General features: G+C 38.1%; 1 protein-coding gene across 17 annotated transcripts in view, besides 1 other annotated feature; it reads left to right on the top strand.

The window, feature by feature from the left end:
• BRAF (B-Raf proto-oncogene, serine/threonine kinase) overlaps window positions 1–22,640 on the top strand; it is a 211,602-nt gene that overhangs the window by 183,494 nt on the left and 5,468 nt on the right. For 9 of the 17 annotated variants that reach the window (NM_001378470.1, NM_001378475.1, NM_001378471.1 and 6 more), the window contains 3 exons: window positions 1,490–1,624; window positions 6,666–6,819; window positions 14,920–22,099. In NM_001378470.1, coding sequence (NP_001365399.1) covers window positions 1,490–1,624; window positions 6,666–6,819; window positions 14,920–14,942 — 312 coding nt within the window. In that variant the 3' untranslated portion in view covers window positions 14,943–22,099. Of the gene's footprint in view, window positions 1–1,489; window positions 1,625–6,665; window positions 10,772–14,919; window positions 22,100–22,640 lie in introns of those variants that run through there. The other 8 variants (NM_001378469.1, NM_004333.6, NM_001374244.1 and 5 more) reach the window with 3 other exon arrangements.
• Window positions 6,071–6,271: a silencer, noted in NCBI's record as "peak6789 fragment used in MPRA reporter construct". NCBI's record gives its function as "represses an SCP1 promoter by STARR-seq MPRAs in K562 erythroleukemia cells {active_cell/tissue: K562}" and the evidence as "EXISTENCE:reporter gene assay evidence [ECO:0000049][PMID:32103011]".

The raw sequence follows: 22,640 nt of genomic DNA, 5'->3' as shown, positions 1-22,640 counted from the left end.
GTAGCTAGAGAAGGGTGAGGGAGGGCATTATAAGCAGAGTAGGAGCAGCGGCAATAAAAAAGTTAAAAGTAGCTTTGTATTGGGATAGTCTTCTCTACAAATCCTGTTACTTACTTAACTGTATTATCTCGGGCAAGTTACTTAATTTATTTGAGCATTGGATTCCTTATCTGTAAAACAGAGTCAACACCAACCTTGTAGAATTCTTTTTTGAGTATTAGATGATATCTAGAATCCAAGTGTCCCAACGTTTTTTGGCCTTTCAGGGCCACCTTTTCCACTGATAGCCAAGTAAGAATACCTGAATTGCTGTCCATAATATATGACTATAGGAACTCCAGATCCTTTCTCTCAACTTTGAAGACCCCTGTTTGAAGTGCTTTACATTCTCCTGGCTGTTGCTTGTCACTTGTTGCTCCAACATATTATTCCAGGTTGCTCCCAAAATTCTAAGACTGCTGTCTTCCATTAAAATGATGATGTTATGATGGTGTAGCTTCAGTAGGGGGCATTGTGAAAGAAAACTGTAATCCCCTCAATTCAGTAACTCTTTCCAAGGTTCATCCTTTAACCTCTACTACATAGAGGCCACATTGCAATCAAAGCTTTACTAATGCCTGGCAGTTAAACAAGGGTCATTACAGCACCAAACAGGAAATAACACAATGTATCAAGCTTGGCGGTTTCTAAAATTCATCAGCTCTGCCCTGTAGCAGGGATCTTTTATGGGCTTTCTCCACTTTAGCCTCTACTCTCCCCCTGTTGCACCTATTCCCTCTAAGACCAAAAGCCCTTCTCTCAGGCTGTCCTCCCTGAGTCCCAAGACTCCTAACATCTATCCCTGCCTGCCCTCAAAAGAGGCAAAATATTAGGAAATTAAGAAATTAGAAAAAATTATAAATCTCTGAATCCAGGGAAGACAAGCCTTTTTATTTCGTTAAACAGATTTTAGCTCCTAATGGCTTCCCCTTCTCTCCTCTGGCGGAGGCTCTGGTTTGTATAACCAAGTGGCCCATTAGCGTTTCCACAATAAAAGGGCTTAAGATGCAGATGCCAAAACGACTGCTAAAATGTTAACCTTTTTGGTTTTCCCTACACATATATAGAGGACTTAACACAACGTCCAACAACAAGAAGTGCTGAATAAATTTTTTTTTTTTTTAAAGTAAAGAAGAGGCACTGTCAGATCTGTTTTAGATGGTTACCCTGTGAGTGGGAAAATGGACTGGATAAAGAGAGACCAAAAGCAGGGGAGCAATTAGAGAACCTTTGCCACAGTCCAAGGATCATGAAGATTTGAGCTTGCACTCCTTTTGTGGGTTTCCCACCATCTATGATGTGGCATTGGTTTTTTAAAACTTTTTATTGAGGTGTAATACATACATCGTAAGCTGTAAATGTACAGCTTATTGTGTTTTCAATGAGTGTGAAGTATATTTTTCAACTTATCTACAAGGTTGAATTATTTCCCTTTTTTTTCTCTCTCCAGATAATTTTTATGGTGGGACGAGGATACCTGTCTCCAGATCTCAGTAAGGTACGGAGTAACTGTCCAAAAGCCATGAAGAGATTAATGGCAGAGTGCCTCAAAAAGAAAAGAGATGAGAGACCACTCTTTCCCCAAGTAAGTAAAAGCTTCATGCTATCCAAAAGAACAGACTAACATTCATAGACAGATTTCTGAGCACTTTTTTGGGCACACAGTGTGTATTTCATGAGTTTGGATTCTATGTGCAGACTCCAGACAAGAAAACACATTAAGATGGCTTCATGAGGGTTGAGCAGTGGCACACCTAGAAATTTTGGGTCCTAATACAAAATATTCAGAAAGACTTTGCATTTGTCCATCAGTTCTCAGACTTCTCAGTCTTTGAACTCTTTTACACATTTAAAAATTATCGAAGACCCCCCCCCCCACAAAGAGCTTTTGTTTATATAAGTTTTAATTCCTTATTAGAAATTAAAACTATTTTTTAAAATATTAATGAATTAAACATAGTAAACCAATATGTTAAATAATATTTAGAAAAAAACAGTTCTATTATCTAAGAGAAAAAAATTAGTGAGGAGTTGTATTGTTTTACTTTTTTTGCAAATCCCTTTGCAAAAAGAAGACAGCTGGATTCTCCGCTTTTGCACTCACATTGCAATATCTCACATCATGTCACCCCTAAAAACTCTACTTAACGCTTGTAAAATAATGACAGTAAAAAAGGCAAATGATATCTTATTGTTATTACAAAAATAGTTTTGACCTCGTGGATCCCCTGGTGGTCCACGGACCACATTTTGTGAACCACTGCTTTATTTCTTCTTGGTGGTAAACAGATTCAAGCTTTCCTTTAATACTGGGTCTTTTTGAGGGGCATTTCTGCCTGATGCAGAAAAAGGAAAAGGCAGTAAGGCATTTGTCAGCTCAGCCTGCCTTTACCTAATTCTTGATAACTCACTGCTTTTTTTTTTTTTTTTCCATATTGGAAGGATAAAGCCTTAAGTTAACAAATTTCAAAAAGAACTGTAACTAAGGCCAGGTGTCGTGGCTTACAAATCTCAACACTTTGGGAGGCCAAGGCAGGCAGATCAGTTGAGGTCAGGAGTTCGAGACCAGCCTGGCCAACATGGTGAAAACCGTCTCTACTAAAAATACAAAAATTAGCTGGGCATAGTGGCAGGAGCCTGTAATCCCAGCCACTCAGGAGGCTGAGACATGAGAATCGCTTGAACCCAGGAGGTGGAGATTGTAATGAGCTGAGATGACACCACTGCATTCCAGCCAGGGCAACAGAATGAGACTCTGTTTAAAACAAAACAAAACAAAAATATCTAAATACCTCAACTAGCTTACAGAGTTTAGCTGTAGTAGATATTATAATATAAATGCAATGTTTTCTGATACTTAGGGAGCTCCTGATAGCACTGGATAAATATGCCTTGATGAATCAGTACAGTTTCAAGTGGGAAGTGCTATTTCCCATAGTAACCCTGCTACCATAATTACTGGAGTGTTCATGTATGAACTCTTAGGCCTTTGAATGCCCAGTCCTAGCTGAGTAACTCAGACAGAAGTCAATGTTACAGGAATTAGATTCACTCATCCTTTATTTTTAAATCTAAAAAATGTTATTCTTCTCTAAAGAATGAAAGAAGATAAAATTGATGGTTTTAACAAGTCTGTCAGGGTGTTGCCTAAGAAAAGAAAGGGAAAGCTAAGTGGTTGGCTGGGTAGATATAAGTTTCATTTATCAGGTTTCAAAGTTACTGTTCCTTTGAGGAAGAGTTTTTATTTTTTCTTTTTATTTTTTTATTTGTTTCTCTAAGTCAGGAAACCTCTGGGTTGAGACTGTCCTGGTGAGAGACAAGTGCTGCTGAGCAGCTTCAGCATGACCCTGTCCCATGTTCTCTTTTCACGTCATGGTGCTCGGGTTCTTACTTAGAATGTTTATTGACATTAATAATGCAAAGTACATCCTTAGGCCCACTTTTTAAATGATATTAAAAGGGGCAAAATGCTTAGCTCCATACTTCTAAATATAACATTTCATTAATTACATGGTTTCAAAAACTGAAGTGCATATGTGAACTTTCCAGATTATTGGAGGCTATCCCTTTAAAGTGTTATTTTGAAATTTTTGTTACAGGATATCTTTTCACACCATACTGTTATATGCCACATAAATTTTAGATGGCTGAAGATCTATATGTTTTATAAAATATGAAATCATTTTTATAGTTTTGAGGTAGGAAAGGCTTTCTTAATAGACAAAATTCAGAAGGAAAAAATTAGCAGATGTGAGTACATTAAAAATTTTTAAACTTCTATATAGAAAAATAACATTGAAAGATAAAAAGAATAATTGTAGCATATATAACAAAAAGTAAATGTTTATAATATACAAAGGACTCCTCCAAATCAATAAGTAACAAACAATAGAAAATGGGCAAAGGGAATATGAACAGGTGATTCACATAATAAATACAAATGGTGAATGAACTTAGGAAAAGGTGTAAATATTTCCATGGCAGTCAGTAAAATGCAAAGACACAACAGTGAAATATATTTTAATTTCGCCTCTCAGGTTGGTAATATCCAGCACTGGGAACAATGTTGGGAAGTGAGGAGGAGCATTCTATGTAAAATTTTAAAGGTTTGGTGGAAGGCAGCATTTTGGAAGACCTTGGTAGAATCCATAAATTCAAAATACTTCTAAAAATCTGTGCTATGTAACCTATTTCATAAGTATTCAGATATATATAAGAATGTTTACTATAATAAGAAAAAGACATTAAGATTAAGTTAGTTTTGTATTGATGACATGGATATTGGTGAGAGAAAAAGAAAACAAGACAGAAAACAAAATGTAGTATGATACCTCATTTTTTTTTTTTATAGGCTGGGCCTGTTCTGTTGCCCAGGCTGGAGTGCAGTAATATGATCATAGCCCACTGCAGCCTCAAACTCCTGGGCTCAAGCGATCCTCTCACCTCAGCCTCCTAAGTAGCTGGGATTGCAGGTGCCTATCACCACACCCAGCTAATTTCTTGTGGTGGTGGTGGTGGTGGTTGTAGAGATAGATTCTCACTATGTTGCCCTGGCTGGTCTTGAACTCCTGGCCTCAAGCGATCCTCTCGCCTCAGCCTCCCAAAGTGCTGGGATTACAGGCGTGAGCCCCAGTGCCCAGCCTGATAACCACTTTAAAAGGTTAAACAGAGGCCAGGCACGGTGGCTCACGCCTGTAATCCCAGCACTTTGGGAGGCCGAGGCAGGCGGATCACCTGAGGTTGGGAGTTCGAAACCAGCCTGACCAACATGGAGAAACTCTGACTCTACTAAGAATACAAAATTAGCCAGGCGTGGTGGCACATGCCTGTAATCCCAGCTACTCGGGAGGCTGAGGCAGGAAAATCATTTGAACCCAGGAGGCGGAGGTTGCGGTGAGCCGAGATCGCACCATTGCACTCCAGCCTGGGCAACAAGAGTGAAATTCCATCTCCAAAAAAAAAAAGTGGTGTTCAGGTGGGCCTTGTTTTCATGTATGTATTTTTATACATAAAAAAAGGTACTGAAGAGGCCAGGCGCAGTGACTCACACCTGTAATCCCAGCACTTTGGGAGGCCAAGGTGGGTGGATCAGTTGAGGTTAGGAGTTCGAGACCAGCCTGGGCAAAATGGTGATACCCGTCTCTACTAAAAATACAAAATTATCCGGGCGTGGTGGCACACGCCTGTGATCCCAGCTACTCGGGAGGCTGAGGCAGGAGAATCGCTTGAACCTGGGAGGCGGAGGTTGCAGTGAGCTGAGATCGCGCCACTGCACTCCAGCCTGGACAATAGAGTGAGACTCCATCTCAAAAAAAAAAAAAAAAGGTACAGAAGAAAGTATAGACTCTAACAGTGGTTATCCCTGGAGAGCAGGATTTGAGAGCCTTATACTCTTTATACATTTCTATAGTATTTTAATTTTTATTTGCATGTTATACTTGGAATTTACAATTTTTTGCAACTGCTTACTTCTTTGTCTTATACTAATCATCATAAAGATTACTTTTTAAAAAAAATTTAACTTTTAAAAACAATTTTCAGCCAGGCATGGTGGCTCATGTCTGTAATCCCAGCCCTTTGGGAGGCCGAGGCAGGCAGATCACCTGAGGTCAGGAGTTTGAGACCAGCCTGGCCAACGTGGTGAAACCCTGTCTCTGCTAAAAATACAAAAATTTAGCTGGGCATGGTGGTGCGCTCCTGTAATCCCAGCTACTCAGGAGGCTGAGGCAGGAGAATCGCTTGAACCCAGGAGGGGGAGGTTGCAGTGAGCTGAGATTGTGCCACTGCACTCCAGCCTGGTTGACAACAGCGAGACTCCGTTTCAAAAAAAAAAAAAAATTGGTATCTCAGGACAATAACAAAAGTAATAATAATAGCTGCTAAGGTTTTATTGAGTGCTTATTATAGGCCAGGCATTATGCCAAGCCCTTTAAACATGTTTCATGATTATGAACATGCATTATCATGCTGTATGCCTTCAAGGATTATAACCTGTTTCTTTGTGCCTTAAAATTGTGAATTTCTGCATTTTATATATTGGGGTCTATTTGTCGAGTTCTCCTATCTTTGCTCTTGGGTTGTCCCCTGTCACTTCTCATGTGCTACTAGCACTCTGGGTCTGTGAGGTTCTGCTTTCAATTAGGTGTATGTAAAACATTTCCCATGGCTAGGTTTCTTTAAAGGGCAAGTAGCTGTGATAATTCTGTTTAGAGATAGTCATAAAGTGCTTTACTTATTTATACTCCATCTTCTTCCCAAAAGAGACTTGTGGTCTATAACAAAAAGGTATAAAATTGGTTTTAAATTTCTATTATTTACTGTTTCAAGACTAACAAATGATCTAAAATATAAATAAAAGCTGACTAAGAATTACTCTCCCCATTTAATTTACAGAGAGAGTTTCTTCTTAAGAAAAAATACCAATTATTTACAAATATTTTCCCAAGCATTTATGACAATGCTGAAAACAATGTAAGATTTCAGGTGCTTTCTTGTAAAGTGTGATGGGACTCTTAAAGATTTATACCACCCAGATTTTCATTCTTCTTTCTGTTTTTTCTTTTTCTTTCTTTCTTTTTTTTTCTTTTTTCTTTTTTTTTCTTTTTTTTTTCTTTTTTTTTTTGTAGATTCTCGCCTCTATTGAGCTGCTGGCCCGCTCATTGCCAAAAATTCACCGCAGTGCATCAGAACCCTCCTTGAATCGGGCTGGTTTCCAAACAGAGGATTTTAGTCTATATGCTTGTGCTTCTCCAAAAACACCCATCCAGGCAGGGGGATATGGTGCGTTTCCTGTCCACTGAAACAAATGAGTGAGAGAGTTCAGGAGAGTAGCAACAAAAGGAAAATAAATGAACATATGTTTGCTTATATGTTAAATTGAATAAAATACTCTCTTTTTTTTTAAGGTGAACCAAAGAACACTTGTGTGGTTAAAGACTAGATATAATTTTTCCCCAAACTAAAATTTATACTTAACATTGGATTTTTAACATCCAAGGGTTAAAATACATAGACATTGCTAAAAATTGGCAGAGCCTCTTCTAGAGGCTTTACTTTCTGTTCCGGGTTTGTATCATTCACTTGGTTATTTTAAGTAGTAAACTTCAGTTTCTCATGCAACTTTTGTTGCCAGCTATCACATGTCCACTAGGGACTCCAGAAGAAGACCCTACCTATGCCTGTGTTTGCAGGTGAGAAGTTGGCAGTCGGTTAGCCTGGGTTAGATAAGGCAAACTGAACAGATCTAATTTAGGAAGTCAGTAGAATTTAATAATTCTATTATTATTCTTAATAATTTTTCTATAACTATTTCTTTTTATAACAATTTGGAAAATGTGGATGTCTTTTATTTCCTTGAAGCAATAAACTAAGTTTCTTTTTATAAATTTTGAGTGCAGGTGACCAAAAATATTGCTGAGGAGTGGCACGTTTGACATGAGTAAAATGTCTTAACTTCGGATTTTTAGCGGGAAAATGTTATAAATTGGAGTTTCTTTTAAATAGCTTTTTTTAAAATACATTAAGGATGTCTCGCTCATGTAGAAGTCAAATTTTGTTGCAAACGCATTGCTCCCTTCACACCCAATCTCTCCCCTGCAAAAAATCTTCACAGAATTCTGTGAGAACTTTTAGGTGTGTTTTTCTTTGAGATACCTCTGGTTGCCAAACACCAGGTAATAGATTTTTTAAAGTTGTTATTAGATTATTCTTACCTCTCATGATGCATATTTTAGCAATCACCTTATCATTGTGTCTCATGTTCTGTCCTCCTTATATTCTTTGCCCAGCAAGATTCTACTTATGATGAATGAATGCTCTTCTCCTTTTTTCATTCAATGGTATGAAGTATTTGTTAGGGTTCTTTAGTACTTACACTTTGTTGTGTAGAAAATGACTGTAATGTGGTGGTCAGTGTATTCTTACTGTGATTCAGAGGGAATCAAAAGTAGAAAGCAACAGCACGTGGTCCTATCAAAGATTTGGCCATCTCTGCTTCACTGTCAGCCTCTTAACTATATCTTCACTTACTCAATTTGGTTTTGTCATGATTTTTAAATGTAGCCAATAGATCAAGGTTCTTCCAGTAAACACATATCTGCATAAATGCCTCCTTGAAGTCAATAAAGAAGGAAATTGAGAAGACTTTAAATTAATGATAATTTAGTTTTTAAGTACCCACAAATAAATTTTTGAAACATTTTCTTTATTTGAATACTTAGATGTCATCCAGGAAAATCACTCAATAATAATTACGGCAAATCTTTAACCCCTCATTTGGGTAGCTTAAGATAAGTAATGCCATTATGAATCAGAATTGATTCATGACTTTAGTTAAGAAAATGAAAAGGAACATTTCACGTATTTTTAAAAATGATACTAAGGAATAAAGAAGTACAACTATTGGAAAATATCTAAGTATATGATTTTTAAATCCTCCAGTGGCATTAAATATATGATTATTAGTAATTGTTAGATAGGGTTTTATTCATTCACAAATAGAAGACTAGCAAGCATGTAACTAACAAAGTTTTTACAAAATTGACTTTGTGGAATGCTCCAAATGTTTGGCCATTTTGAGGCACAAGGTCAGGGGTCTCTTTATTGATAGAGCTCCTTCTATAATTTCCCAGCATACCTGCCTCACAGTTATCTTCCTTTCATTGTTCACTCTCTTTTTCTTCTCAATGCCATCCTGCCTAGGCTCCCATCATCTGCATCTGACACCTTTCCTTTCTTTCTTTACTAGTCTCCTTTGCGATGGGTGTGGCTAAGCTCTGTAGAGCCACTCAGAAACTCATTGTTCCATTCTGTAGCCAGTAAAACATGCCTCCAAAGTGTCACAGAGTAATTCTACTCTCTCTTTTAAATTAGGTCCACCGGAAATGTTAGTGAAAGGACATTAAAAATGTGACAGGTGACATGTTTAGCTAACATGGATCTGGAGAAATAGGAAGCAGTAGAATTAAATGTTTCCCTTTCAGGTTTAATTGTATTTGTTCTTGGGTTTTGTTTTATACTGAGTTTTAAATATATTCTCCAAATAAAAACATTATTTTTTCTAACCATATGTAGAGTTAATCTCTTTGACTAAGTAATTGAAACAAAAGAACATTTGTTCTTTTGTGACTGCTTTTTTCCTAAAACCTGAGCCCTCTTTTTTTTTTTTGAAATTAAAGTTGATTTCCTTTTTTTTTTTTTTTTTTTTTTTTTTTTTTTTTTTTTTTTTGAGACAGAGTCTCGCTCTGTCGCCCAGGCTGGAGTGCAGTGGCGGGATCTCGGCTCACTGCAAGCTCCGCCTCCCGGGTTCACGCCATTCTCCTGCCTCAGCCTCCCAAGTAGCTGGGACTACAGGCGCCCGCCACTACGCCCGGCTAATTTTTTGTATTTTTAGTAGAGACGGGGTTTCACCGTTTTAGCCGGGATGGTCTCGATCTCCTGACCTCGTGATCCGCCCGCCTCGGCCTCCCAAAGTGCTGGGATTACAGGCGTGAGCCACCGCGCCCGGCCTTAAAAGTTGATTTCCTTCTTCAGTAAGGAAACCTTTTTATAAATTTGTTTTGCATTTTAAAAGTTTTACTAATCAATGATGAGGAAAAAGATTTGTCTTCTTGATTTTAAATAGTTTCAGGATCACAGGATGTAATCAGATGCTTCCAGTTTATTTATTTTCAGGTATTACACTAGCCATTTAATCTTTTTTATTTATTTATTTTCTTCCTGCCCCTCGGATGGCATATACCAGCCATTTAGATACTAAACTCTAATAGTTAAACCAATAGTTAAAATTGTCCTCTCTAAAACATTGGCTATTTAATATACCAGCTTAAATGGCCTTTCTCTCAAGTGAGTCACTCTTAGTTTAAGAAAATTATGTGCCTTTTTAAAAAATATTATGAAATGGTACTTCATGACAGAAACATTTTATCAGTTATAGTCTTATTTGATTGAAAATTGTTGAGCATTTCTGTAAAACTTTTTACTTTACTAAATATTTCATCTTTCCTGTGACTGTTTTCTCAAAGAATTTAAAAGACTCGATGTGTCTATGCCAGAATGTTTCTCATCCTTTTGAAACTGCCTGGGCCAGGCGTAGTGGCTCACGCTGTAATCCCAGCACTTTTGGAGGCCAAGGTGGGCAGATCGCGTGAGCCCAGGAGTTTGAGACCAGCCTGGACAACATGGCGAAACGGTGTCTCTACAGAAAAATTTAAAAATTAGCCAAGCATAGTGGTGCACAACTGTAGCCCCAGCCACTCGGGAGGCTGACGTGGGAGGATCCCTTGAACCTGGGGGCGGAGGCTGCTGTGAGCCTTCATCATGCCACTGCACTCCAGCCTGGGCAACAAAGCAAAACCCTGTCTCAAAAAAAGAAAAGAAAAAAAGAAACTGCTTGAAAGTCATGACGAAGAATGTCAGGAGGGGACTTATTCTGGCTGCAGTTGACTTTCTCCTTAAATGTCAAGTAGTGATTGATTTGGATAAGAAGTAAACTGTTACTTTTCATAACATACTTTAAGGAATTTATCAAATTCTATGTATAATGCCCATTAAAATATACTCCATTCTGGAGTAAAGGGTAAGAGTAATATTTTTAAACTAGTTAATAAAGTCTTTAGCTTTCACATAAACCATGATATTTGAGGTGTCTAAAATCACAGGGTCTTTTTTTTTTTTTTCAGTCTTCCCAGTTGTTCTCTGCTCTATTCCTAAATAAAGTTAACTTGAAAATGCATGGCCGGTTGTGGTGGCTCACACCTGTAATCCCAGCACTTTGGGAGGCTGAGGCGGGTGGATTACTTGAGGCCAGTTCGAGACCAGCCTGGCCAACATGGCAAAACCCTGTCTCTACTAAAAATACAAAAATTAGCTGGGCATGGTGGTGTGCACCTGTAGTCCAGCTACTTGGGAGGCTGAGGCACAAGAATTGCTTGAACCCGGGAGGCAGAGGTTGCAGTGAGCCAAGACTGCACCACTGCACTCCAGCCTGGGTAGTAGAGCAAGACTCTTTCAAAAAAAGAAACAGAAGATGCAGCTTAAATTATCCTCAACCTGAAAGAAGGGGAAAGAAAATATTTCAATTTGGCCTCAAATTGATTTTTTTTTATTAATTAATATACCAAGATTTTTTTTAAGACATAGAGTATCTAGGTATTTCACTTCAAATAACTTCACACAAGCAGAGTTGGCTCTTCAAATAGAAGACGGGTAGGAAGTAGAATAGTAGAGATTTCCAGATGGGCAAGAAGGAATCATTAAGAAAAGATACTTTTTGTGAAAGCAGATTCATCACCTGTTACTCCCATGTTTTCCTTAAATTCTCCATGTTTTAGGGACATTTTAAGAGTCTTATTTTATTGATTCCTGAACTATGGATTCTTTTATTTTTTTCCCCTCAACACCAAGTATGACTATAAAAAGGACTGCATTCTGTTAGAAGCACTAGACTTTTGATAGAGTGATAGTGTTTGCTTTGTATTTGATTTGGAGTTTGTTGGTAAAAATTTGTTCTTTGTGCGGTTGTTTGGTTTTAAATTTTTTTGGAGACAGAGTCTTGCTCTGTCATTCAGTCTGGAATGCAGTGGTGCAGTACCACCACACCCTGGTAATTTTTTTGTTTTTGAGACAGAGTCTCATTCTGTTGCCCAGGCTGGAGTGCAGTGGTGTGAGCTCAGCTAACTGCAGCCTCTGCCTCCCGGGTTCAAGTGATTCTCCTGCCTCAGCCTCCTGAGTAGCTGGAATTACAGGTATGTGGCACCACACGTAATTTTTTTTTTTTCCCAGTAGAAACAGTTTCACCATGTTGGCCAGGCTGGTCTCGAACTGCTGAGCTCAGGTGATCTGCTCACCTCAGCCTCCCAAAGTGCTGGGATTACAGGCTTGAGCCACTGCACCTGGCCCTAATTTTTGTATTTTTAGTAGAGAGAGAGTTTCGCCATGTTGGCCAGGCTGGTCTTGAACTCCTGGCCTCAGATGATCCACCCTCCTCCGCCTCCCAAAGTGCTGGGATTACAGGCATGAGCCACCTCGCCGGCCTGGTTTTTATTTTTAAGACTAATATTTAAGTTTGTGGAGTATGACACTTCAACAAAATGAAATTTCTAATCATTATAATGAACAGGAAACATCTGAAGTTGTGTGCGTGTGTGTGTGTATTTTGTTTTGTTTTCGAGACAGGGTTTCGTTACTCAGGCTGGAGTGCAGTGGTACAATCCTGGCTCACTGCAGCCTCAACCTGCTGGTCTCAAGTGATCCTCCCACTTCAGCCTCCTCTAGGTAGCTAGGACTACATGCATGTGCCACCACATCCAACTGATTTTTTTTTTTTTTTTTTTTTGGAGAGACAGCGTCTCACTATGTTGCCCTACCTGGTCTCAAACTCCTGGGCTCAAGCAGTCCTCCTGCCTCGGCCTCCTGAAGTGCTGGGATTATAGGCGTGAACCACTGTGCCCAACCTTAGCTGAAGATTTTTTTAAGTATTTTTTAATGTAGTATATTAACATTTGGCTTAGATATTAGCATTTTCTGATTTTTTTATTTAATAGATTAATTCTAGGCATTTTCATAAAGATTTCTTTTCTATAAATCTTATTTTTACATTGACTTCCTTTAATGAGATTTGATTTGGCTAGATACATGATTACTCATAAGAATGTTGCAAGTCATTTTAAAGAAACATTAAAACACTAAAAATAGCAACCTTAAAATTATAAGTACTCAAACTGTAAGCAACAATAGTAAGAATGTTTGTATATTTCTGGAGTGTGTTACCATAATAGCCTCCTATGATTATACTCCAAATGTTTTACTCTAAGGTCTTAGTAATTTAATTTAGCCTTTTTTTTTTTTTAAATCAGTGCTAGATTCCCCAATCCTCTTAACTTTAAATATGAGGCAATAATTCTTTTACCCTTTCTTGATCTTTGGACTCACAATACCTTAGTTAATTGCTTGTTAAAAGGAATTCATGCATAGAAAGAGATAATAGACTATCTGCAGTTCATTAGTAGTTGTATTCAGATTGGGAAAACAAAGTGTTAATTGTTGAAAGTTGTTTAGGGACTGCTGGGTCTTGGAGTCAGCACCTGGGTTTGCATTCCTTCTCTGCAATTTTCTGTATATGATCTCAGGCAAGTTACTTGACCACTCTAAACCCTGGCTTCCTCATCTATATAATATAGATGATAGCATCTGCCTCATAGGGTTATCATGAGAATTGGATGCAGATGTGTACAAACTGTTCCGTGAGGCATCAGGCACTCAGTCAGTCACTAATACTATCAGCTTACAAAGCTGAGGATTCAATCATCCAGTCATTAGCAATCTGTTGTTGGGATGTGCCAGTGTTATCTAGCAACCAGTTGGAATCTGATAGCAATCAGAAATTAGATAGGTTATTCCTGGATTAAACAGTATATTCATATAAGTGATTGCTTGGATCCTCATCAGAAGCTGCTATTGAAAAATAGTGATATGGCTGGCCGGGCATGGTGGCTCATGCGTGTAATCCCAGCACTTTGGGAGGCCAAGGCGGGCGGATCATGAGGTCAGGAGATAGAGACCATCCTAACTAACACAGTGAAACCCTGTCTCTACTAAAAATACAAAAAAATTAGCCGGGCGTGGCTTCATGTGCCTGTAGTCCCAGCTGCTGGGGAGGATGAGGCAGGAGAATGGCATGAGCCCAGGAGGCAGGGCTTGCAGTGAGCCGAGATCGCACCACTGCACTCCAGCCTGGGTAACAGAGCAAGACTCCGTCTCAAAAAAAAAAGAAAAATAGTGGTATGGCTGACTAAATTTTGTTAATTGTCAGTTATTAACTAATCCCCAGAAATTAACTATGGTGTGTATAACAGGAATTGGCCTTTAGTTACAAGTAGAAACTATGGACAAAATGGTAGATGAAAAATAATGGCGGCCGGGTGCAGTGGCTCACACCTGTAATCCCAGCACTTTGGGAGGCCGAGGCAGGCAGATTACCTGAGGTCAGGAGTTTGAGACCAGTCTGGCCAACATGGTGAAACCCCATCTCTACTAAAAATACAAAAATTAGCCAGGCCTGGTGGCGGATGCCTGTAATCCCAGCTACTTGGGAGGCTGAGGCAGGAGAATCACTTGAACCCAGGAGGTAGAGGTTGCAGTGAACCGAGATTGCACCATTGCACTCCAGCCTGGGCAACAAAAGCAAAATTCCATCTCAAAAAAAAAAAAAAAGAAAAAAATAATGGCATGAAGCCCCCAAATTCATTAAGCTAAAGGAGCATGATATCACAAAGGTACTTTGTGGTTTAAAGAATTCTTTATGCTGATAATTATGTTCAGTGATGTGCCTATATTTAATTTTTTGTTAGATTGAAGGTGAAATTAACTAGAAAATAGGCAGTCTGGATTTTCTTTCTCTGTCAAACGTGTGGTGTGAACAAATCAGTTGACCTCTTAATTGTATCTTTAGCAAAATGAGGATAACTACTGCCTCTCTCTTCCTAATAGTGGCATTATAATAATATGATAGGTGAAAATGAGTTGATAATTCAGAGGTGGAAGTATTCTACAAATTGACATTACTACTTTACATTCAGTTTCTGAGAAATTTTGTTCATTGGAACTGTTTTCAGCTTGATCAGAACCATGATACATAAAACCCAACTGGAAAATTCTGCAGACTTGCTATTTAATTGATAGAGCTGAACCATATTCTGTATACTATATATGTTGTGTTCTTCCATGGGTTTCAGCCGTTTTTGCTTTTAAATTAGCAATGCTGTTGCTAGACTTGAAATATATAACTAGTTACTTTTCAGTGAAGCTCAAATGAGGCTTTTCTGTGTCTCTAGGTTATTTGAGATGACTTTTTTAAAATTAGCTCTTGTCCTCCCTCTACAGGAGAATTTGCAGCCTTCAAGTAGCCACCATCATGGCAGCATCTGCTCTTATTTCTTAAGTCTTGTGTTCGTACAATTTGTTAACATCAAAACACAGTTCTGTTCCTCAAATCTTTTTTTAAAGATACAAAATTTCCAATGCATAAGCTGATGTGGAACAGAATGGAATTTCCCATCCAACAAAAGAGGAAAGAATGTTTTAGGAACCAGAATTCTCTGCTGCCAGTGTTTCTTCAACAAAAATACCACGAGCATACAAGTCTGCCCAGTCCCAGGAAGAAAGAGGAGAGACCCTGAATTCTGACCTTTTGATGGTCAGGCATGATGGAAAGAAACTGCTGCTACAGCTTGGGAGATTTGCTATGGAAAGTCTGCCAGTCAACTTTGCCCTTCTAACCACCAGATCAATTTGTGGCTGATCATCTGATGGGGCAGTTTCAATCACCAAGCATCGTTCTCTTTCCTGTTCTGGAATTTTGTTTTGGAGCTCTTTCCCCTAGTGACCACCAGTTAGTTTCTGAGGGATGGAACAAAAATGCAGCTTGCCCTTTCTATGTGGTGCGTGTTCAGGCCTTGACAGATTTTATCAAAAGGAAACTATTTTATTTAAATGGAGGCTGAGTGGTGAGTAGATGTGTCTTGGTATGGAGGAAAAGGGCATGCTGCATCTTCTTCCTGACCTCCGGGGTCTCTGGCCTTTTGTTTCCTTGCTCACTGAGGGGTCTGTCTAACCAAGCAGGCTAGATAGTGCTGGCACACATTGCCTTCTTTCTCATTGGGTCCAGCAATGAAGATAAGTGTTTGGGTTTTTTTTTTTTCCTCCACAATGTAGCAAATTCTCAGGAAATACAGTTTATATCTTCCTCCTATGCTCTTCCAGTCACCAACTACTTATGCGGCTACTTTGTCCAGGGCACAAAATGCCGTGGCAGTATCTAACTAAACCCCCACAAAACTGCTTAATAACAGTTTTGAATGTGAGAAATTTAGATAATTTAAATATAAGGTACAGGTTTTAATTTCTGAGTTTCTTCTTTTCTATTTTTATTAAAAAGAAAATAATTTTCAGATTTAATTGAATTGGAAAAAAACAATACTTCCCACCAGAATTATATATCCTGAAAATTGTATTTTTGTTATATAAACAACTTTTAAGAAAGATCATTATCCTTTTCTCTACCTAAATATGAGGAGTCTTAGCATAATGACAAATATTTATAATTTTTCAATTAATGGTACTTGCTGGATCCACACTAACATCTTTGCTAATAATCTCATTGTTTCTTCCAACTGATTCCTAACACTATATCCCACATCTTCTTTCTAGTCTTTTATCTAGAATATGCAACCTAAAATAAAAATGGTGGCGTCTCCATTCATTCTCCTTCTTCCTTTTTTCCCAAGCCTGGTCTTCAAAAGGTTGGGCAATTTGGCAGCTGAATTCCCAGACAGAGAATAGAGCAATTTTAGGGATATTAGGACTGAGGGAGGGTGTGGGAAAGCTGTCATCAGTTGTTTTTATAGAAAGAACTGGCATTCATTAAGAACCTAAATCTTATCTTTGCACAAATGGAAAATATAACCTAGTTATAGCTTCCTTTGGCCTTTATTAAAGGGTAATATCAATCACAGTCATAGCAAAGAAAGCGGATGTATTAATGGCAAATTAATGGAAAACCTCCCTTATCAGGAATCTAGACTCAGAATTTAGGAACACAAATCAAATCAGACCAACCAAGCTATAGCCAAGGACTTGAAAGAAATTAAACAAGACCCAGAATAAATCAAGGAATTAGAAATTGTTATTTAAAAATTTCAGATTGTAACTCCAGGCCCTGCTGTCTATATTGCAGCCACTAAAAGCTCACTACCATTAGATTTTTGCTAACATACATGTATTCAGAAGAAAGCCTATTGAAATTTTCATTGTCTTGTAAAAGGTTGTCCTAGTAAAATGGAAAAGATCCTTAAGTTATTAATCAGTTTGAAAAGCAAATTTGTTTTTAAGTTTTACATCAGCAGGGCAGTGTCTTACAAAATTCAGAAATTGCAAAGGTGGAAATAATTCACGCTGATTTGAAGAACATCTTCTGTGCAATAATACTGCCTCTCTTGAAAAGCATTGGCTGTTTTTTCTTTTTAAATATATCTCTAGATGCTTTTAAATGTGGCTGTGTTCCCTTTACCAAGATTGGCTTCAAGTTTCCGCAGGTAGAGAGACCTGGGCTTGAACAAGAGGATGTGTTTCATGTCCTGCTGAGGAGGTAGAACATGTGCAGCCTGGGTCCGGGACTGCCTCCGTGGGGCAGGGGCAGGGGCGGTACCATTAGGGAGGAAGCTTAGCATTTCAGTTTCTTAAACAATATTCAGGGTGATACACTTTTTCTTCCCTTGCATTTTAGAATAGGCTGGTATCTCATTTGAACGGGGGAGCAGACTTGATCTCAAATGAAGCTGTGCCCAGGAGCCAGGCTTAGCATATTGAGATTTTTATAGATACCTTAAAAAATAAAATATTTAAACCTCTCTTTTCTTCCTTTTTCTATGAAATAGGTTTTTTCTCTAGTTTACAAATGACATGAAAATAGGTTTTATTTGTGTTTTATCTGCTTTATTTTTTGATGCTTAGACAACAGTTAGACTTACTGAGCTCCTAAAAAAACGAGGAAGAAGTCCTTATTTGTGAAAAGCACTTTATGAGTAATTGTATAGACAGTATGTGGCTGCGTCACTGATCATCTTGTAAGGGTGTAACAGTCTTGTCTGTAAAGTGGCTGCAGTGCCTTCTGTAGTGTGTTTTATTTTTGGTAGGGAGAGGTGAAGCCTTCTGAAAAATTTGAGAGCAACTACAGAGGATTGTTTGTAACTGTGTAGTATTCCTGATGGACTTTTTTCATCGTTAGAGTCAAGGACCTAGACTTTTGCCACTGAAATAATATTGACCAAAAAAATAGTTTATAAAAGGGATTTGTGAATAGAAAATTCAGTGTGATCATTTGTTGTTAATGTGCACCTTAAAAGAAGATTCTGTCTAGCTGTCAAATTCTGGTTCCCGAATATCTCACCCCTGATTGTATTTGAGATCTAGTAGGGCATACTGGGGCATTTTAGAAGATAAAATCCCATACAAATGATATATGCTATATTTATGTTGGTGTTGGAGAAGAAAGAGCAGTATATAAAGAAATAATTCAAGACTGCAGCACTGTCAACCTGAAACTTTGTAAATATTTCCTAGCTTCTGGTTTGGTGCGGTGACAGCACTTTCATCACAGGATGTTACCTTGTATTCACCAGGCGGAGTGCGAGCTGCTGCACATCCTCCTCAGATCTCACCTGTCCCCACTGTACATCCACCCGCCAGCTGCTTGCAAACCTCATCTCTAGCTTTAGTTCGAAACCACATTGCAGGGTTCAGGTGACCTCTACAAAAAACTACCTCTTCAGAATGAGGTAATGAATAGTTATTTATTTTAAAATATGAAAAGTCAGGAGCTCTAGAACATGACGATGATTTAAGATTTTAACTTTTTTGTGTACTTGTATTTGAGCACTCTCATTTTGTCCTAAAGGGCATTATACATTTAAGCAGTAATACTGTAAAAAAATGTGTTGCTCGGAATATCTGAATGTTGTTGAAAGTGGTGCCAGAACCGGTTTAGGGGTACGTTTCAGAATCTTAACCTTGAGTCAATTGCATGAAATTAAATAGCTGTGGTATCACTTCACTAACAGTGATGTAATTTTAATTTTCAGTAGGCTTGGCATGACAGTACATCCTCATAATGAGTTTGCTGCAGCTTTGTCACATGCACAGGCATTCATAGAAAGACCACCCAGCTAAGAGGGTAGAATGATTACTCTTTTTGCAAGATTCTCTTCTTTGTCCAAGTTGGCATTGTTAGTGCTAGGAATACCAGCACCTTGAGACGAGCAGATTCCAACCATTAGGCTATAAACACCATAGCCAGAGATGGAAGGTTTACTGTGAGTATGAACAGCAAATAGCTTACAGGTCATGAGTTGAAATGGTGTAGGTGAGGCTCTAGAAAAATACCTTGACAATTTGCCAAATGATCTTACTGTGCCTTCATGATGCAATAAAAAAGCTAACATTTTAGCAGAAATCAGTGATTTGTGAAGAGAGCAGCCACTCTGGTTTAACTCAGCTGTGTTAATAATTTTTAGAGTGCAATTTAGACTGCATAGGTAAATGCACTAAAGAGTTTATAGCCAAAATCACATTTAACAATGAGAAAACACACAGGTAAATTTTCAGTGAACAAAATTATTTTTTTAAAGCACATAATCCCTAGTATAGTCAGATATATTTATCACATAGAGCAACTAGGTTGCAAATATAGTTCAGTGACATTTCTAGAGAAACTTTTTCTACTCCCATAGGCTCTTCAAAGCATGGAACTTTTATACAACAGAAATGTTGACAGAAATTGCTGTAGTTTAGGGTTGAAGTACTGTATGATGGGCAGCAATCATGTATTAACTTAGAAGGGGAAATTGAAATATAGGACCGAATTTGGTTTTATCAGTTTCCAGAGTACTGCTGCCAACCTAGACACTGATTTTTCAGAGTTTGAAATGTAAATTTCTTCCCGGGACTTGATTGCACATGAAGCTGGACTGCGTTAGTCATCCTGTCCCAAAGCGCTGTGGGGGCCAGGGTGGAGGTCTCAAGGCATCCTTTATGACCTGGCCATTGGATGTAAAAGAAAACATATTCCATGCTGTGGTTCTTGTATCTTGTTTCATTCCTCACCATTGAAAGAGAAAGTCCATGTATTGTCTCCAGCACATCCTTGAAATGTTATACTGGGATGGATTACTGATGCCCATCGGTAGTTGAGCCCCAGAAGAGGGTAGTAGCATCTCTGCCTCAGGTGATGATTTGTAGCTTGGCCAGAGGAGAGCGGAGTCACCAGTATATCTGTGGTCCATGTTGCTAGCTCTGGTAAAATTAAAAATACTGGTAAGATGTTTGTTTTATTAGTACACTAGACAGTAAGCTCTGTTTTGTTGTTTTCAAATAACCTATTTTCACTTTTGTTTGGGCAAAGACATTTAAATTGAAATTCAATTCTAATTTTTGTTAATTGTGGAAAGGGTAATTAACAGTTCCTATCAGGTATTTTTAATGTGGAAAAGGACAGAAACCCAACTCCTAAAATCTTAAATTAAGGTAACAGTGCTTTAAAAAAAAAAAATGCATGGGGCAATTAGTCGGCAACTCAATGAGTGACTAAAGTACTTTTATTTAACATCCACAACTTCAACTGTTAAGTTTTATTAATTACTAAATCAGCTTTATTAAAATGTTGACATTTATTTAGCTATTTTGAATAATTATAGTGACTTGACGAGTGTGTATGAGGACACAGCCAATGTAAGCCAGTGTATCCATTTTTTAGAGGTGCATTTTTTTTTAAAGAATTCTGTAGATAGAAGTGCTCTGAAAACAACTAAAATATGTTTATTCATGGTAGTATCAAAAAATGTTTGTACAAACCATCTGCTTCTCCCGGCCAGCCGAGTTCATTCTCCAGCACCGTGACCGCTGGTTCTCATGTACAGCACATATGCGGGAGAGTTGGCAGAAAATTTGTGAAGAGATGCCGCAAAGGAAGGGTCTGTTGACGGGTGGGATTGGGGGTTTTGATGAAGTTGCTTAGTCCTGGTTTTGTTTTGAAAATTACTGCGTTGCATTTTTGTGTTAAGTTTTTGAACCCACGTGTGTTTTGGTGGAGTATGAGTTGGAAGTCACTGCAAACTAGCATAAACAACAAAGCTCACAGAGTAGGCACAGATGTAGAGAACAGAGACCAAAATGGGGTGAGGTGGCAGTAAATCTAGGATAGGGAAAAATTAATGTGAGGGTGGGAAATAAACTGTAATTACCTGAAATCAAATGTAAGAGTGCAATAAGTATGCTTTTTATTCTAAGCTGTGAACGGTTTTTTTAAGAATCATTCCTTCCTAATACATTTGTGTATGTTCCATAGCTGATTAAAACCAGCTATATCAACATATAATGCCTTTTTATTCATGTTAATGACCAACGTAAGTGGCTAGCCTTTATGTCTTATTTATCTTCATGTTATGTTAGTTTACATACAGGGGTGTATGTCTCTGTGCTGTCCCCTTCTCCTGCCTTCATTTTAAAATGCATCCATGGGTCCTCCGTGTTTCCTTTGGCCATGCCACATATATAGACTCAGTTTGGCCTTCATGATATCGCCTGATTTTTGAGGACTGTATCACAGTGATATGTATTTGTGGTAATCTCATTTGTTGGTTGTACATCTGATCCTTTCCTCAACATGGCAATTGCTGCCTTTCCTAAGATAGGATCATACAACTGATCAGGGGATTGAATTTGATCATTCATCAACATGTGTCTCTGAATTTTATTCAGTAGTTGTCATTGCTCTTTGGTTTAGACCAAGAAAAAGGAAATCCCCCCTTTTCATGTATTCCTTGGTTTGAGGACATGACTCCTGTAAGGGAGAGGAAAGGGAGATGCTTCCTGTTTGAACTGCAGTGAATTCACGGTTCCTGTTTCACCACTCCAAACCTTATGGCGACTCACACACACATTCCTCTTTTCTGTTACTGCCAAAGGTTCGGGTTTAGTACACTTCAGTTCCACTCAAGCATTGAAAAGGTTCTCGTGGAGTCTGGGGCGTGCCCAGTGAAAAGATGGGGACTTTTTAATTGTCCACAGACCTCTCTATACCTGCTTTGCAAAAATTACAATGGAGTAACTATTTTTAAAGCTTATTTTTCAATTCATAAAAAAGACATTTATTTTCAGTCAAATGGATGATGTCTCCCTCTTTTCCCCTATTCTCAATGTTTGCTTGAATCTTTTATTATTTTTTTTAATTCTCCCCCATACCCACTTCCTGATACTTTGGTTCTCTTTCCTGCTCAGGTCCCTTCATTTGTACTTTGGAGTTTTTCTCATGTAAATTTGTATAACAGAAAATATTGTTCAGTTTGGATAGAAAGCATGGAGAATAAAAAAAGATAGCTGAAATTCAGATTGAAGAAATTTATTTCTGTGTAAAGTTATTTAAAAACTGTATTATATAAAAGGCAAAAAAAGTTCTATGTACTTGATGTGAATATGCGAATACTGCTATAATAAAGATTGACTGCATGGAGAAGTCTTCATCAAGACTATTTTTCTAACACGATTACATTCAGTAACAAAAGTAGTCAGCAGTTTTAACAGTTTTTCTAGACAATGGAGAGACTGAGAAATGTACATTTTGTTTCATACATAATGTTGGTTACTGCTTAGTGGGTAGAAGTTCAAGTAAGTTGTCAAGTTTCATGCATGGTAGGTTATACGTGCTATACAACTTGCAGTGGCAACAGTCGTTTGTCAGGTGTTGGTGATGACCCTTAAATATTTGAGATGTTGTGACCTGATGTATCTTTAGTTTCAAACCACTGCTTTCCTCCATGTGGTTCAGTTGGAGTATGTGCTCTACTTTAGTCATGTTTAAAGTTTATCTGCAGAAACTCACCTTAGAATTGTATTTTTTCAAACTTTTGACAGCTTACATTTTCTATAGCAACACAGCACACGCACGCTAACATTTACTTGAAACTATGCACTCATGTTTTCTACTTCATTTTTTTTTATGCTGGTTACCTCAGTGAGTTGATTTTCTGCATTTGATTTCATGACCCTTCCCC

This window comes from Homo sapiens, chromosome 7, assembly GCF_000001405.40.
Source record: "Homo sapiens chromosome 7, GRCh38.p14 Primary Assembly".
In the NCBI taxonomy this organism is placed as follows: domain Eukaryota; kingdom Metazoa; phylum Chordata; class Mammalia; order Primates; family Hominidae; genus Homo; species Homo sapiens.
Note: the sequence above shows the minus strand (reverse complement) of the source record. Positions and strands in the feature narration are given on the sequence as shown.